The sequence below is a fragment of the Homo sapiens genome, chromosome 4 (genome assembly GCF_000001405.40).
Source record: "Homo sapiens chromosome 4, GRCh38.p14 Primary Assembly".
In the NCBI taxonomy this organism is placed as follows: Eukaryota; Metazoa; Chordata; class Mammalia; order Primates; family Hominidae; genus Homo; species Homo sapiens.
The window spans coordinates 89,749,804-89,768,725 of NC_000004.12; the positions used below are offsets into that span (position 1 = coordinate 89,749,804).

Consider the following 18,922-nt stretch of genomic DNA (forward strand, 5'->3'; position numbering starts at 1 on the left):
TCCAAAATCAGTTCATATCTAACTCCTAGCACATTTTTAGTTAAAAATATACATGCACAAAATATATGTGTAAATACACATGCTGATATCACACATATGTGTGTGTGTGTGTGTATATATATATACACAAAAGCAGATATATATATATATATATATATACACAAAAGCAGATATATATATATGCTTTCTTGCAGGTGATAGAATGCTTTTTTGGAGGTGGTTTTGTGGGCCTATGTAATGTCTCTATTGTTATATTTTAAAAGTTTCTTTTTTGTTTGTTTGTTTGTTTGAGATGGAGTCTCCCTCTGTAGCCCAGGCTGGAGTGCAGTGGCAGGATCTCGGCTCACTGCAACCTCTGCCTCCCGGGTTCAAGTGACTCTCGTGCCTCAGCCTCCAGAGTAGCCAGGATTACAGGCGCATGCCACCACATCCCACTTTTTTTTTTTTTTGTATTTTTAGTAGAGACAAGGTTTCACCATGTTGGCCAGGGTGGTCTCAAACTACTGATCTCAAGTAATTGGCCAGCCTTGGCGTCCCAAAGTGCAAGACTGCAGGCTTGAGCCACCACGCTCCACCAAAAGTTTCTTAGCACTCATTCTCATGAGAAAAATTGCTGAAAACTTGGCAATAAAGAAACAGAATGACTACATGTCCTTTAAATGTTATTTTTAAGGGGCTCAATCAATGACTATGAAGTTATCTAAGATAAAACACCAGATTTTGACATTGCCATTAACTTTTTTATTAGAGCCCCCAGATCTACAGGTTATATGTGCAGATGTGCAGTGGCTGCTTTATTTCCCTTTTCAAGAGCTTTTCTTATACAGCATCTATCCACTCTCCTATAGAGATGAAGTTAACTCCCTTGACAACTATCACTTGTCCCCAATCCCCACCCTTCCACTTGACATACAAACCCAAAGAGATTCATGCTCATTTATGCTCAGTAGAAAACATAATTCCATAGGTTACTGCTATTATTAATCAAATATTTACTAGATTTATATCTATTAGTCAATTCTCTTTAGAATTTCTTTGACTGTTTCTATAAATCTTTATTCCTCAGATATTCCTTTAAACCAGTCTTACCAGCTTATTGGCTCCACTACTAATTAATTAGTTGAATAAAATCTTTGAAATGTGTTTATGTTTGTATAAAAACCATCTTCTTTACTTTTCAAAAACTATACTTGAGCACACTGTGAAAAGATAAATTGCTAGGTTCAACTGAGGAACTGAATAATTTTTTCCTCTTTTAGTTTTAACATTCTACACAATCTAAATTATTTTAAAACTCAGAAAATGCTTTAAGCTCATATTTATAGACTTCCCAAGTAGTACAATCTGTTAACTGAGGTAGGTAAGTAAACGTCCTTGAAAACTTCCATAAATGATGGTGAATAAATTAAAAAGGTGGAAACAATTTTCCAGGTCTCTGAGCCATATTCAATATAATGAATCCTGAATAGGAGTTCAATGAAAAGATTAGGTAGATTTTTTTTAAAAAAAACCCATATCCCATGGGATCCTGCTGTAAGGTACTTTTATAAATTATACTGATTATACTGTCTCATTTCTCTGTCTATTTGCCATGTGTTATATACTTTGGTGATCTTTGAGAAAGCATTTAACCTATTACAGGCATTTTTTTCCCCTAAAGTACAAGTAGGTAGGTCAAAAGAACAGCAAGGACAATGTCTATCCACCCAATCTGGTGGCCTCCGAAGGACAAAAGCCAGAGTTAATCTAAAGCAATCAAGGAGTCTGACCACCATGGAAGCCCTGAGGAAGTGGCTGCTGTATTTCCCTTTTCAAGAGCTTTTCGTATACAGCGTCTATCCACTCTCCTATAGAGATGAAGTTAACTCCCTAGACAACTATCACCTGTCCCCAATCCCCACCCCTCCACTTGACATACAAACCCAAAGAGATTAATTAACATTTGTTCCAGGAAGAGACACAGACAAAAACATCCGATATTGGAATATTCCTTCGTGAATAAATATAAAACTTATGGAGAGGGAGGAAGATATTTTGAAAGGAAAAAAATCATTGGACTTTATTGCTCAAAGCCAAAAGAAATTGTTTTTTGTGGCAAAAGTAAAACAAGGTAATTTTGTACTGTGTGCTGTATTTCTGGCAATTATCTGTTATCTTAAGAGGCTTATATAGAAAGAACAATTGTACCTACTTTCACAGCATGCTCTGAGGATCTAAGGACCCTCAACAAATAGTTTTCATGCTACAAGCAGGCACTTATTTAGGCACAAATAGGATGGGATTCTTTTTTTAACTGTAGTATAAATAATTTTATATAATACAGTTATATAGGCTTTTTTAAACAAAATACAGTCAGATTTTAAATCTCTCTATTCTAAGATAGACACTTCACAATTTAAATTCAAGACTCCTTGTTTCTTGAAGACATCTATGAAAGCAAATGTTTTTGAGAACTTGGCTGAATCTGAGTCCATTCCGATTAGCAGATTCCACATTCACTTTTGAGCCATGACTTAGAAGCTATCAAGACATTATGTAGCAACCTTTTTCTCAGTATTCCAGGAAAATAAAAATGTGCATGCATTAACTCAATAGGTATTCAGATGTTTCCCATTAGTAAGTTGTGACCATGCAATAAAAACCATGCTCACCAATATTCCCCAATAAACTTCAAGATTTGTAAGCTCATGCATACCCACATTTATGTTAAAATTTGAAATAATGAAATATTTTTGCATTGTGAAAAATAGATATATATGCATTTTGTGACCAAAACCATCACCACAGTTCCATTGCTGTTGTTGTTCTTCTTCTTATTATTATTATTATTATTTTTGGTTTGTTTGTATCTGGCACATTTGGGGTTATAAATCACAAATAACATAAATAAGATAATGTTAATCTCCTTCTTACAAAATCCAATGGCTTCCCACAAGTCTATATATAATATGCAAATTTCTTACTATAGCTTATAAGATCTGGAATAATTTTTCCTATCTCCAGCCTTCACCTCTTCTCACATTCATCATATTCTAGCTAATCAGGACTCTTTTATGTCATAAAATATGCTAGATTTGCACACCCTTAAAGCCTTCATATACGAGTTTGTTCTGCCTTGGATACCTCTGTTCCACATTCCCGAACATTCTCTCTCTCATCACACAGCTGGACCCTTTCACCCTCCTGATCTCAATTGAAATGTGACCTTCCTGTATAAACTTTCCATGAGCTGGCTTGTCTGACTGAACCCAAATGGCTAATGGATTTTCTTTCCCGTTACATGCTCTCTAATTTATGATGCTTTGCTTGGGGGGAAAATGAGAGGTGGGAGTCTGTTTACGGAACATGGAAGTCCTTTTGCAGAGGTACAAGAGTGGAAATGGCTGTTCCCCAGCCTGGCTCTCTGAGTCAGACCTGACATCCACAGAGAGAGCACTGCAGTAACTGCAAACGCTTCTGTTTTGATTGTGGTAATTGGAACAATCAGGGCACAAACTGCAAGGTCACTGGCAAGGGTAGCAGCAGGCATGATTCCTCCCTTAGTAATTTTAAAGCAGCAGATTTCAAAAGGGAAAACCAAGCAGATGAAAGTGAGCAGATTTGTTCTTCAGCACATGTGAGATACCCTTGGAGATGCCAATAAATCACTGGAGAGACTGTGAAGGAGGCTTAGGCCCTGCAGATGAAGTTAGTGATGGAGGGAAATCGTGTTTATCCTCGGGCTGTCAGGTCTGAAATACCTGGGTTAAGTAAATGGCCTCTGGGATGGTCACAGTCGGCAATTATTAGCAGTTACAGATCCATCTCTATGCCAAAACAGATAACAGCATCCAGGAATTATCCAAAGTCACAAATCAGTGTCAGTGTCTTGTCACTCACCCACGTAGTGCTTTTCCCTTCCTCCTAGTTACTTAATGGATAAGGGCACATTGTCAAATAAACAAACAAGTGAGGATAAATGTTGCTCCGAAATTTAAGGTGAATCATTAGTCAGACTTGGTATCGTCATGGAATTTGGTCTGTTTTCTAACTAGCTTTATTTTAGCACAGCCATAAATCTGGCTGTAATTGTCTTTAACTCCGATGACTCATACATCTAAGCATTTCATTTAACTTTCAACCGTGAAAAATTCCAACTGATTTGGCAATATGAATGTGCTCTTACATGCATATGATCATATGATGCTGTCAGTACAACATCTGTTTTTGTTCTTGGGATGTTGATGGACTATCATGAACCATCTTATAACTTTCCCAGTCCCCTTTAAGTCCAAGAGGATACAACTGAGAAGGCAGGTAGAGTTTTTGGTCAGTGGCTAGGTTTTTCCTGAATATCAAACAAATTGCCTGGTATGAGAATTTAACAGAATATGACCACAATTTTTTTAACAGATTTATCTACTTGAAACATCGCCTCAGTCAATGAAGAAACTTATGTTCTATAACTAATAATAAAAGATCATTTGTAACTGAAATATGACAAATTGCTGTTTTAATCATGAGGATTACCATTTAGAACAGCTAGGTAAACATTTACTTTTTAATCCGGAAATAAGTTAAAGCAAATAATAAAAATTTATATTTAAATCACACAACATGTTTTATCATGAATAATAAATGTTTTTAAAGTTTAAAAATGTACTTGTTACCTTGTGGGTATTCCTGAACATGATTAGGATTTTTATTTCTCCAAGTATTTTTATTCACTCACAGAATCAAAATGTCAAGGCTATATAAGTTTTCATCAAGTGCTAATTTAGCATCTAAGTTTTTATTAATTAATTTGTAAAGGAAATAATAATGAGAGTCAAAGGAAGAAGCATCTCCTGTGGTGAGCTCCATTTCCAGATTCCAACGAAACCATTAAAATATTTATGGCACTGAGGCTGAATCAGACGGGTCTTGTGTACTCTCTTGTGTGGCCATATTGTGTAGCAACAGTGGGTTTCGAATAATAAGATTCAGTCATCCATTTAGACTCCAATTGGAGCTCAGGCAACTTCAATTTGTGATTATAATGATTAACTTCAAAAAGATGCACTATTTGTAGACCTATGTTGAAACTTATGCAGTGGAACTAAAAAGCCACCTATTTTTATAATAAAAAGGCACAAATACGCAAATGCAAAAGAAATTCATTGGAAAATCTTGAACGTTTCAAATATAATTATCACAAATGCAAATATAAAATAACAATATGTTTGTTAATATTATACTTTCATTTAATCAGTTCTTCTAAGTAAGGCAAATATATGAATTTTTTAATATACAAAAATACCCCCCCAAAACTCCATTAAGTATATCTATATGACCATTGGGTAAGATTTTTTATGATTATTAGTATGGGAAAATTGTGACTGTTTAGATATATTAAATATATTAAGTAATATATTTAATGATTTAAGATTGTTAAATAATTTATATTAAAATTGAAACCTCATTTTGCCAGTATTAAAAATTTCAAAATTTAAATACATATGACACCAATGCATACAATGTTACTTTGTCCTGAACATAAGTTTTAAAAGAATTTAAGTTTAAATATTCTCCTAAATGCTTTGTGAGACTTAAGATAAAAAACAGTTCCTCAGAACTCCTGACAAAGGGGGGCAGTAAAGAAGCAAAAAGATTTTTATGGAGTTCAGGGAAAGCTGAAAGGCCTTTGTGTACATTCCCTATTTTCTAAACAGTAAATGATGGATTGCATTTTAGGCAGACTACAAAATTGCTAAAATTAAATGTTGGGATGGAAATGTGGAATGCAGAGTTTGCAACCCCCTTTTAATTTAATATTTTCAAAGAATTAAGAGAAATTATTATATTTTATTTTATAAAATATTATATTTAAAATTACTCAATTCTAAATGAATGTTATTGCAAACCTAGGCTTATAAGAAGAATGCATTTAGAAGCCCTAGATAACATACAATATAAAAATAATATTTGCAAATTATGCATTTGTTTTCTTTTCTTTCTTTTTTTTTTTTTTTTTGAGATGGAGTTTCGCTCATGTTGCCTAGGCTAGAATACAGTGGCACAATCTCGGCTCACTGCAACCACCGCCTCCTGGGTTCAAACGATTCTTCTGCCTCAGCCTCCCCAGTAGTTGGGATTACAGGTATGTGCCACCATGCCCGGCTAATTTTGTATTTTTAGTAGAGATGGAGTTTCTCCATGTTGGTCAAGCTGGTCTTGAACTCCCGACCTCAGGTGATCCACCCGCCTTGGCCTCCCAAAGTGCTGGGATTACAGGCCTGAGCCACCGCGCCTGGCCTGTTTTCATTTTAAGTGTAGTTGTCTAGCATTTTCAATACATTCCCCCCCGTTTGACAAATTTTATCTTGCCATTTAGCTAATGGGCAAGCAAAAAATTAAGTGGAATAATTGGACAGAACAATTATCTGGTAACCTAAACAATGGTAACATGAGATAGGTATTTTATGCATTGTTTGGACTTATAAACTATCTAGTGTTCTAATAATAGACATAATGGTTTATTCAACTAATAGCTACTGTCATCCTTAGAGGTTATTAACAACTCAAAGTAGTGAATTACATCCAACTAAAGGGTGCTTTTGTATAGACATTTGTTCTTATTGCTGGTCACTTATTCTTCAAATATCTTTTAGGCACCATTTACAAAGATGACCAGAGGTACAAAATCTGCATATATAATAGAAAGAGCCAGGTAGTCATTCAATAAAAGAAGGTATATAGTACCAGGAAAAGATTTTTATCTTAGCCTAAGGCAGTCTGAATTCTCAAGCCCAAAGCACATAAATTTGTTGGAATTATTTCAATTTCTAGTCACTAAAAATGTGACGCACATTTACACCAGTGGTTCGGTTGATTACTTCTCTTCAGCCCTAGTCTCTTAAGCACAGGTATACACACTTACAGCAATATCTCTGCATACAATATTTTTGACAGAATGAAAAAGTTAAAAATATTGATGTTTATTTCAGCGATTCTGAAATGGTTTATAAAAATTCTATGACTATAAGAAATTCATGAGGAATGCAATATATCAGGAAAGAACAATGTCATCTTTACATAAAAAGGATGCGTGTCAGTAATTTGAGAGGCTGGAATCTAGTGACAAATGTGTCACTTTTTAAGGTGTGCTTGATTCACAGCTGACAGCTTTGATTTGAAATTGCCTTTAAAACAATGTCTATGTATCAGTGCAATGAATTCTAACCAAAAGCTTGTTGGAGCTAACCACAGTACCTATATATTCAAGATGTTCATGGGAGGAATGGAAGATTTGATATTTAGGCACTGAAGGGTTGCTATGATAGTTATTATACACAATTGAGTTTAAAATGAATATATGTGTCAGTTCTATTATTAAATGTTATAAAATATGAGGGAATAATAAATGCTATGTAATTTATAAACTACAAGAAAATTTATATCAGGAAACTGCTTATTTCCTAATATATGCACTGTCTTCAGTGTCTCCAAAACTGTCAACTCTGCCAATGTGACTAGCAGATGATGAGCAGGCAGTCCGTGTGATATTATCAATTACATAGTCAGAAATCTGAGTCTTTCTTTCACCTTATGAGCTGTTTAGGAAGAAGGTGTATATGTGTGTAACAGGGAGCAAGAGGAGATTAACTTGTAAGCCATTATCTGATGCAAAGGCAGACATTTACTAAGTCATCTGTGAAGAGATGGTTCGATAATAGCTAAGCATTCATATAAATCTTCAGGGACTCGAATTCTCTCAAGTGTGACAGAATACTCCTCTCAACTGCCAGCGCTCCTGTTGTAAAAAATCACATTTGGCAAAGGGCTCTGGTGTTTTGAGTTCTGCTCAGTGACAGGTTTGTTTTAAGTAAGATTAATACTGAGGACAATAAAATGACCTTCAATTAAGACTCCTTTTAAATTTTGTCTACCTGATTTCCACTATGGTTCGTGTCTAGCTGTACTCTATCTAAGAATGATCTTTAAAACATTCAGGATTATGAGAGAGATATCTAGGAAGTCATAGGAAATAACCACTATTCAATGCTGTTCTGTACACCATTAGTAAACCATAAGAGAGGACAAACATTTATCCAAGAAAGAGACTATTACATAGCCACCAGGACCCAATATGGATTCAGCACAATTGAGCAATACATGTAACAGATTTGTGGTGAAAAACAGGTGCTGCTCAATTGCTTAGTCTAAAATTCTCCCTCAATTCCTTCCCATCACCTAATTTGTTTGACATCTAGTCTTTTTACATTATAATATAGTATATTAAAAAGTTCTTATTATGGTTTTTTTTTTTGAGATGGGGTCTCGCTCTGTCGTTCAGGCTGGAGAGTAGGCTCAGTGCAAACTCTGCCTCCTGGGTTCATGCCATTCTCCTGCCTCAGCCTCCCGAGTAGCTGGGACTACAGGATCCCGCCACCACGTCTGGGCCAATTTTTTGTATTTTTAGTAAAGACTGGGTTTCATGGTGTTAGCTAGGATGGTCTCGATCTCCTGACCTCATGATTTGCCCACCTTGGCCTCCCAAAATGCTGAGATTACAGGTGTGAGCCACCGCGCCTGGCCCTTATTATAGAATTTTTGGGCATACATTGCACATTTTTCTAATTGTGCTTCAATAATACCAAACAAGTGGGCAAATGCTTCACTGGGCTACATTTGCATCCCTGAGTACAATTTCACATTGGTTTTGGTTTTGTGAATTTTGGAGGAATTTATTTTGAGAGATGCCCCTGGAAATAAATAATGCTGATGTTTTGGTGTAATTTTATTTATTGCATTAATGGAATATGTAAATACAATCTATCAGCATTAGGCAGAAAATATTTAAGAGATATCAAATTCTTTTGCCGAGAAAGGTAGTAGTTTGCCAGGAACTACAAGCTTTCTAACTGAACTTTTAAAAATAAATTTTAATTTTTAATTTTGATAGATCATCATAGTTGCACATATTTAAGGGCTATCTGTGATATTTTCATACAATACTGCCATGTTTACTGCCACTATTCACAATAGCCACGATATGGAATCAACCTTTGTTCATCAACAGAAGAGGAGACAAACCTGACTTTGGTCTGTGCTGGCTGCAGGTTCTGGAGAGCTGTTTGAAGTGACAAGATGGCAAATGAAAGGGTCAGTTGGTTGCCTGGTGGATTATTCGTCCTCATAACACTTTACCTAGAAATTTTGCCTTTTCTCACAAAACCATAATAATGGACAAACAGCATGAACCTAGATATGCACCCCCAGTCACTATCGTAAGGTCAAGTTGGTATGAGTCACATAAGTAGAGGACTAGAAGTTTTATCTGAATAGTATTGTCATAGTGGCTAGGAATGAGAGTGAAAAGTAGACTAGATGTGTGCTTTGATATGGCTTGGAGCAAAAGGTCAGGTATTGGGGCACTTCTGAAATGATATCTATTATTTAGGAACTGGGTCAGGAAAATCTATAATTACATTCCTACTGTATTTACATACCATTCATTCCTAAGAGAGCTCTTCCAAAAAAAAAAAAAAAGAGATGTCAGTGCATAAAAAATAAACTCCATTTCTTTCTCAAGCCCAAAGTACATAAATCTTGAAATTTTCCAGCTAAAAAATAGGCATATGTTCTAGCATCAGCTTTAATTTATCCCACATTCATTCTCTGCTACAATAAAGTGACAAAGCCATTCATATTTTATGTTACATCTAATTATCTGTTTTTCAGTTAGATAAATATGCTTTATATCCTAGGTACCATCAGAATTTCAAAGCTCAGAAAATCACTAATGAGAATGGAAGGAATTAACCATCATGCAAGCAGAAGCATGCGGCTACCATGCTACATTGCTCAGAGTTCATGTAGCAGTTTAATCAGGGTAGCAGCTGTGCAATGAGCTTTGTTGGAACTGGAGTCTCGCATCCTAAATGTGAAATATCTACTGTTTGAAAGGGTGATAACTTTATGCCTTGCAAAGAAAACAGTCCTCAAGTGTTATTTTTTAATGAATTAACCCTTTATCTTTCCTCACACCTTTTCTCTTCTTTTTTTTTTTTTTTTTGCCCTCAGAAGTATTTAAAGGATAATCCCATATGATAACTCACACTGCCTAGCTTCAGTACAATGTCTCATACATTGCAGGCACTCACAAACATTTGTTTAATGAATGAATAAGTGAAAGTCCAATGGAAAATTACACTGTTGAATTTACAATGGTTTTAGAGGTACATCTCTAAATTTGTTGATTTATTTAGGATTGTACATTGTCACATTTTCACTGCTAAATTTCATATTATTCATTAAAGAAAGGCAGTGTTGGAGAGTTTTATAGTTGACAGATGAATTATCTATAACTTCTAATATACTCAGACATCATGTTTTTCTAGCATGTAACTTTTAAAATATAAACTCTCCAACATTTAAAGTTTTAACACTTTTTAGTAATTTTTTAAGAAATGACAGATCAATAGTAGCTTTCCATAAATAAAAGCCTATTAATTTGTATAACATAACAAAATTCAGTGCAACATAAATTCATATAGTACTCCTACAAGAAATCTATAGGAGTAAAATTATGATTATAAAAATCAACAGACTTAAACAAACAAATAACAGCTTTCAATTAAGTTTATAGATACCAAAGACATTCAACCTTTAACATCCCACTGTGTAAAATCAAATGGGAAAGGATAAAAGGACCAAAGCTATGGTTAGTAATATAATTGATTGCTGCCCTACCTACAAACTAATTTGTTTTAATATCTGTGCTAGAACCAGTATGTTACCCCTTTTAACTTTAGCTAAATAATGTTTATACAAACCTTACTATGCAGAGCTATCTTTAACAAGAGCATCCCATTGAGGAAAAAAGAAAATAGAAAGATATGAAAATTTTCACTTTTTTCTAATACCAACAGATATCACTTTATTGATATTGCATTTCTGTATATAATGACATAGAATATGAGCATTCCCTGTAGTTCAGTTTTACTGACAGTAACATTGCACAAATCATTTTAGGGCTATGTGCTATGCAGAGACATTGTACAGTTAATTGGCATCATTAAGTAACATTTTGAAATGATGAGGTGTTCAAATGTAGTAGTTAAAGGCTTGATTGGACATTGCTAAATTGGGTACTAGATCTCTAAAGAGATGGAATTTACCCCCTAGTAGGCTTTATCCTTTTTCACTTGTCTCAGATTTGGAACTCATTTCTTTTAGGTTGAAAATTTTATGTTCATGTTGGAAACTTAAATTTTAACAATTAAAAGATTACTTGAAATGCAATGCTACCCACGGCTGCCTGTCATTTTGGGAGTTTCTTATAGATTCTTTTTAGGGATAAGAATTATGTTAAAACCAGATGCTAGAATTGCTTTAATTTTTATTCCCCAGTTTCTCATTTCCATTTTGACAAAGAGGCCCAAAACATGAATAGCCTTTTGATCTGTTTTTTTCTCCCATATCAGTTCCCATGAGACCAGTGACTTCATTCTTTCTGTTATTGCAGGTTTACATTTTGCAGTCATCTTTTATTCTTGTATCACTATCTTCAATCATTGTGGCCAATTCTTTCCAGGTCATTCTCAAACCTCCATATCAAAGCTATAGATCAATAACTATCAGAACAAGTTAAACATTAAGATAAAGTTAATCATCTTTTCTTTATAATAATAACCACCACTGAATTGCAATTGTTATGAGGTATTATGCTAAACACTTTATCAAATCTTATGAAATAGGGGTAATTTTTATTCTCATCTCACATGAGAACTTGAGGCACATAAAAATTAAGGCATTTTGCCCCAGGTCTCATGGCTGGCAAGTGGTCTGTCTGACAGTAGAGAGCCAGCTTCAAGCACTGTACTATAGGGCCACTGTGTCATGACTATAAACCTTTCATGGCATGGTCTATACATTTGGGCTCTTCAGCTTCAAATTTATCTATCATGCAGGCATGACACTAGGTTTTCACTTGCACTGGAAGTCAACTGCTGGAAAATTAGTCTGTAGAAAACCGTAGGCCACAGAGTTCCTGAATGTGTTAGTAAGAGGCTTAGATTTTATTTTGGATGGGCTGGGAAATAATTGAAGGGTTGTAACAGGGAATGTGCAGAATTGCATTGTGGAGAGATCTAATTGGAGATTGGGGGAAAGATGAGCAGGCCCTAAACTGTGATAATGTTGGCAAGCTTGAAGGGAGGGACAGAATCAGAAAATATTTGTAAGTGACATTTCTAGGCCCCTGTGATTTACTGGCTGGAGGATGAGCAGGTGAGAGGTGTTTGTTTTGAAAAAAGTGATTTTGAAGAGAGGTCAGAAAAAGATTTTCATTTTTTTACTTCATGTGTTCATGAGTTGGGGAGTCAGGGTACAGAAGGAAAGACACATGAAGCCAGGGACTGACACAGAGACCAGACACACAGTGGGTGCTTCATGGATAGCTGTTGAATGATTTGTGAAAATCAGATAGCAGTGGTGAGGGTTTTTATGCAAGTGAAATACAAATGAACTTCTCAAGGTGCCATATCTGAGTTGTGGCTTTGATCTGGTTCCTGACTTTGAATTATTTTGTTCCTATGAAGTACAGGACTTTGTAATAAAAATCCACCATACACAAAATCCCCTGGACTTAAGAATATCTCCACAAGTTATAAGAATTGAAACTGCTTAGAAGGAACAATTGCTTGTACTCAGCCAGTCATCCTCAGCTGCATGAGTCTCAAAACGGGGGTGGAGAGTGTCTACCTCCTCCAGAAAAGGTTTTTAGAGCGAAATCAAAGAGACTGCCTCTTCTCCACCAAAATTATTTGTCTTAAGATGGGGACAAGAAACCTGGCACCCAGGAGTAAGGACACAGACGTGCTCTCTCATTTTAAGCTGAAGCTGAACTGTCTTGTCCTAAAAACATATGCCCAGACTCTAGAAAAGCTCTCTTAGACAGACTGCTAATTTCTCCATTTCTGTCACTTAAGAGGATTTTAGGGACATATAACTTTGAGAATTCCATTCTGCAGCTTTCAGAGGTAATACAATCCAATACTCATAGTGGGCTTATGGTGTACCCGGCACTTTTCCAAACATTCTACTTGTTATAGCTTCTTTAATTGAGGTACGTATTCTTATCATTCTCCATTTGGGAGATTTGAGAGAGAGGCAAAGTATGTGCCTTAAGATGACACAGTTGGTAAGTAGGAAAGCAGAACTTTAACATCAGCAGTAAAACCCTGAGACTATTGTTTTAATGTGTTTAATAAATGCCCCACTAAGAAACCAGAGCAAATTAAAAGTATGCTGTGTTCTATTAATTTGATACAGGCAGAAGAAATCTAAAAACAGCAAAGAATGATATTTAAGAAGAACTCTATTTTAAGTAGTTATAGGACATATGCTTAAACTGAGTGAACTTTTTATGAACTTTTCATCAGAGATTTTTTTTTAATTGTTGTTTTTCTCCTGTGTCTGTGACTGAATAAATGGCCTCTGTTCACTGGAATGCTTCACATGCTTCCTCTCTCAGTTGTAGGTGTGTTTATTTCTATTCAGACACCAAAGGCCTATGGGTATCTGCAAATTAACAGTTTCATTTGCTATTATGTTCCATCATTGTGAAGCAGCACAGGAAATTAACATATCTGTAACCACGCCCTTACTATATAATATGAAAGTGTAAATTAAAACATGCCGTGTTCATTAAACTGAGATAAAACCACATTTTGAAAATAAAGTTTAGTAAGTGGATACTTAGTATCACATTGGCGATACTAAGCTTATGACTTGCTTTTAATATTTGGATTGCAAATAAATTTGGAAGCTAATGTATGGAGTACAATAATAGCGAAAAGCATGGGCTTTGATATTAGACATGGCTATGCATCCGAATATCTTATTATTGGATATTCGATTCAAGAACATATCAGAATAGTAATTATGTTGTATTTGATTCAGTGGCTGAGATTGAAGGGCAACTAACCAACAGAGGAGAAGATATTATTGATTGTTCTAAAGATTTATCCTCCAAAGCTTTCCTTTACCCTATCTTGTTACATCTTTTTTAAACAATGCTAATTGTGTCCCTTGTACATATTCTTATTCAACTCCTCAGCAAACATCTTCTATGTGACCAACATTCTGAGAGGTGCTGGAGATGCAGGGAAGAGTAAGATGCTATGCTTGACCTGCAGTATCTTGAAGCTAGTTGGGGCAGCAAACCATTAAGACATTCAGCAGCATAGCTGTTGTCTGCAGAAACAGATGGGGATCCAAGGGTTGGAAATAATACAGAGGAGAGATGGATTCATTTGAAGAGTTCTCTTGTTGCATGCTTAATATAATTAAAGTGCCTAGCCACTAGTAGATGACAGTTTTCTAATTTTACACATCATGTAATCCCCTTAGTCTTGAAGATATTGATGGTGTTAATCACTTGAATGCAGTGACATTAATAATTTCTTAGATAAAAAGTATACTGTTTCCAATCATAAATTCCCTGCCTCCCAGACTCTCTGTGAGCCTCATGTGCATAAGTGGAGGGAAGGACCTGCTGATCTAAGAATACCCCTAGTGTCAAAGAAGTAAATGGTCAAGTAAGGTTGTCCTAAGAAGCCATGTTACCCCTTCTGCTGGTGAGCACAGAGCCCAGGTATAAAATTTTTTTTTTTTTTTTTTGAGACAGAGTCTCGCTCTGTCACCCAGGCTGGAGTGCAGTGGTGCAATCTCGGCTCACCGCAACCTCCACCTCCCGGGTTCAAGCGATTCTCCTGCCTTAGCCTCCCGAGCAGCTGGGACTACAAGCACATGACACCACACCTGGCTAATTTTTTGTATTTTTAGTAGAGATGGGGTTTCACCATGTTAGCCAGGATAGTCTCGATCTCCTGACCTCATGATCTGCCCGCCTCAGCCTCCCAAAGTGCTGGGATTACAGGTGTGAGCCACCACGCCTGGCTGCAGAATCTTTACCTAGGTTACTGTTGTCCATGTGGGTAACAATCTTGACATCTGAAGTGTTCATTGAATAAAAATTTGTATTGAATATTCTTCTAACAAAATCTGAAAAAAGTACAGAGCTATTTTTGAAATGGATGAGAATGTATGGTAATTTAGCTAGTTCATTGTATGTGTCCTGTTTTCAGTTATCATTGCTACTGAATTATTTATCTTTAGGTGTATAAATTATAGTCAAGATGCTTACAATTGATGAAGGAAGAATGATTTTAAAACACAGAGCAAAATGTTATTTTAAATACAGAAGTCTATTCTTCTCCTCCATGAATAACTGGCATTCTGTTTCTATTGTATATTAGGTTGAAATATGTGTTTTTGTCATTACCAGTGTTTCCACAGGATAAGACTGAAGGCACAAGCATTTAATATTTGCTGAAAGCACTTAAACAGAAAAAATATTGGCTAGTGAGATTAAGAATGAAATAAGGTAGACAAATAGCTGGCTGCAAAAGAGACCTTAAAAAGTTTCTCAGAGCCTGGCCAAAATGGCAAAACCCCATCTCTACTAAGAATACAAAAATTAGTGGGGTGTGGTACCATGCACCTGTAATCTCAGCTACTCAAGAGGCTGAGGCAGGAGAATTGCTTGAACCCAGGAGGCAGAGGTAGGTTGCAGTGAGCCAAGATCATGGCACTGTATTCCAGCCTGGGCAATAGAGCAAGACTCTGTCTCAAAAAAAGAAAGTTTATCAGTCTATTAAGAATATACTTGATTTTTACAAGAAGAATCAATTGCTTTACAAAGTTATTTATCTAAAATGTATGAATAAAAATGTATAACTATAAACATATCTATAAAACTAGTAAAGATCAAAAGCTCAGGTATCTTTAACTTTCTCTGCTTCTACTATTCACAAAAATATTTGCTCAGAGACACAGAAACTCATCTTCAAGATTTATTTTTATCTGGGTGGAGTTACAGAGTTGCCTTGGTAACAGCAACTATCACCAAATTAAGTGTTAAGCACACGTTTTTAAACATTTTTAACATTTTAAAAATGCAGATGCCAAAGGAGAGCAATGTCAGGAGAGAATGTTGTAAACTCCCTTTTTCCCACATCTACTTGACATTACAAGGTTTGTACTACTTTCAGAAATTCTCCAGTGTTTAAAAAATGCGTCTATAAACACACATATACACAGAGCACTTCTTATTGAAGTAATCACCTTAAAAATTATGTAATGCAATGAAAACCACAATGGTTTTCCTACCATTGACTAAGAAAGCAAAGGACCTTTCTTCTGAAAGTGAGGAGGACCTCTTGCCTCCTGTCATTTGTGAATAGAACTCTGTAGTCAGAACCAGAGCATTTCTGGCATTTGGTCTAGAATCATTCTGAAGGGCAAGCCTGGTGCTGTGTTGCTAAGCACAAACAATTTGGTATTTGGCTCCAAAAATATGCTCGAGATTAGTTCTTCCCTCAGCAACAGGCGCTCAGCCAAATAATTTTTAACCAACTCTCAGAGCCCAGTATTGCTTGAGCTACTGAGATCCTATTTCAAGTTATTGCTATCAAGATATGGAGGAGAGTGAAATACTGACACTTGTGAGATCCCAAGACTTACACTAAATCCATACAATTTCTGTCCTGAATTAAAAATTTTTTTAAAAAAGAGATGAAAAGTGTGACATTTCCAAACCACGTAATTGGTTTCTTTCACCTTAAACTCCAAGTTAGAGAAGTATTTTGTTGTTGTTTGTTTTGTTTTAAAACTAGACTTGGTGGAATACAGAACATAAACATTTTAAACAAAATATTAAACTTCTAGAACAGTGGATCACTTAAAATGAAAACTTTAAGACTTTCCTTAGACTGAGTTTTTTATTCTTAAAAAAAATTAAAAGGAAGTTGAATTTTATTTCTAAACGGTGCAGGACAAATGAATAAAATACATTTTGCCTCTGTCTTAAACTTAGAACAGATACGCAATCTCTTTAACAGTATGTAAAAATTCAGTCTTTTCTTTCTTTGGTTTCCAAATTACAGTGAAATGAAACATTTTCCTTTTATGTGTAATTAGTGCAGTTTAACTAAGAGTTATGGAGCATCTTTCCACCTCATGGTGTATCCATGTAGCTGAATTTCTTCAGCATTTGCTTTTTTAATTTGTATAAGGAGTAACTGTTCCATATCTTAGAAATCTTTGAAATTAGAAGTTGATCTAATAGCATCTCTAATGTAGTCTCTCCTTGAATTTTAAATATAATAGATATGACCTGTTATTTAAAAGATATAGTGTTTACTGGCATATAACAGTTGTGTTGAGAATTTTTCATTGAATAAAATATATTTCCCTTGAAATTTTTGTTTTATGGTCATATCTCATAATCCACCTCTGAATCAATGAACACTTGTATTGGTGGAGAAAACAAAGATCCTTCAGACAGACTTTCTGTGTGGTATGTTCTTTCTGTTTCTTTTCTAATAACATTAACTTACATTTAAAATTATTATAATTCACTCTATTTTCACAAATCATCAAATCATACTCAGATATTTAAAAATAAATTTTATTGTATATATTTACAGTAAACAACATGCTGTTATAAGATGAATGTATATGGTGAAAAGGTTATTATAGTGACAAAAATTAACACATCCATTGTCTATCTCACGTAGTTACCCACTTTTTCCCCTGTGGCAAGAGCAGCTATAATCTACTCAATTAGCAAAAATCCTGAATACAATACACTATTACTAACTATAGTTGTCATCCTGCATGTCAGCTTTTTAGTTCCTCCTACATATCTGCTACTTTGTATCCTTAGATCTACATCTCCCAATCTCCTCCCTGCCACCTCACTCATGGTAACCAGTGTGTGGACTGTGTTTTTTGTTTTTTTATTTTGAGACAGAGTTTTGCTCTTTTGCCCAGGCTGGAGTGAAGTGGCGCCATCTCGGCTCACTGCAACCTATGCCTCCTGAGTTCAAGTGATTCTCCTTTCTCAACTGCCTGAGTAGCTGGGATTACAGGCACCTGCCACTATGCCCGGCTAATTTTTGTACTTTTAGTAGAAACAGGATTTCACCATGTTGGTCAGGCTGGTCTTGAACTCCTGACCTCAGGTGATTCACCCACCTCGGCTTCCCAAAGGGCTAGGATTACAGGCGTGAGCTACCACATCCGGCCGGTAACCACTGTTTTATTCTAACTTTATATTTGAACTTTTTCTTTTTAGATTCCACATATAAGTGAGATTATGCAATTTTGTGTGTGGATGTGTGTTGGACTTATTTCCCACAGCTTAATATCCTCCAGGTCCATGCATGTTGTGGCAAATGACAGGGTCTTCTCCTTTTTTAAGGCTGAATAATATTCCATTGTATATACATATACCACAGTTTCTTTTATCCATTCATGCACCAACACATACCTAGGTGGTTTCCATATCTTGGCTACTGTAAATAATGCTGCAATGAATATAGCAGTGCAGATATCTTTATGAGGTGATGATTTTATTTCCTTTGGGTACATCCAGAGGAGGGATTGCTGGGTCTTAGGTAATTCTAATTTTAATTTCTTTAGGAACCTCCGTACTATTGTCCATAATGACTGCACCAATCTATATTTCCACCAACAATGTACAAGGGTTCCCTTTTCTCTACACACTTATCAACACTTAAACTGAACATGTAGACTTTTTCTTTTCATTATTCTCTAAACAATATAGTATAAAAACTATTTACATAGAATTTACATTGTATTGGGCATTATCAGTAATCTAGAGATTATTTAAAGCAGCAGTCCCCAACCTTTCTGGCACCAGGGACTGGTTTTCTGGAAGAAATGTTTCCACGGACAGGGATGGTGAGGGGAAGGGGAATGGTTTTGGGATGATTCAAGCACATTACATTTATCATTAGATTCTCATAAGGAGCGCACAACCTAGATCCCTCACATGTGCAGTTCACAATAGGGTTCGTGCTCCTATGGC

General features: G+C 35.6%; 1 protein-coding gene across 12 annotated transcripts in view; it reads right to left on the bottom strand.

The window, feature by feature from the left end:
- SNCA (synuclein alpha) overlaps positions 1 to 18,922 on the bottom strand; it is a 114,206-nt gene that overhangs the window by 25,705 nt on the left and 69,579 nt on the right. The window lies entirely within an intron of this gene.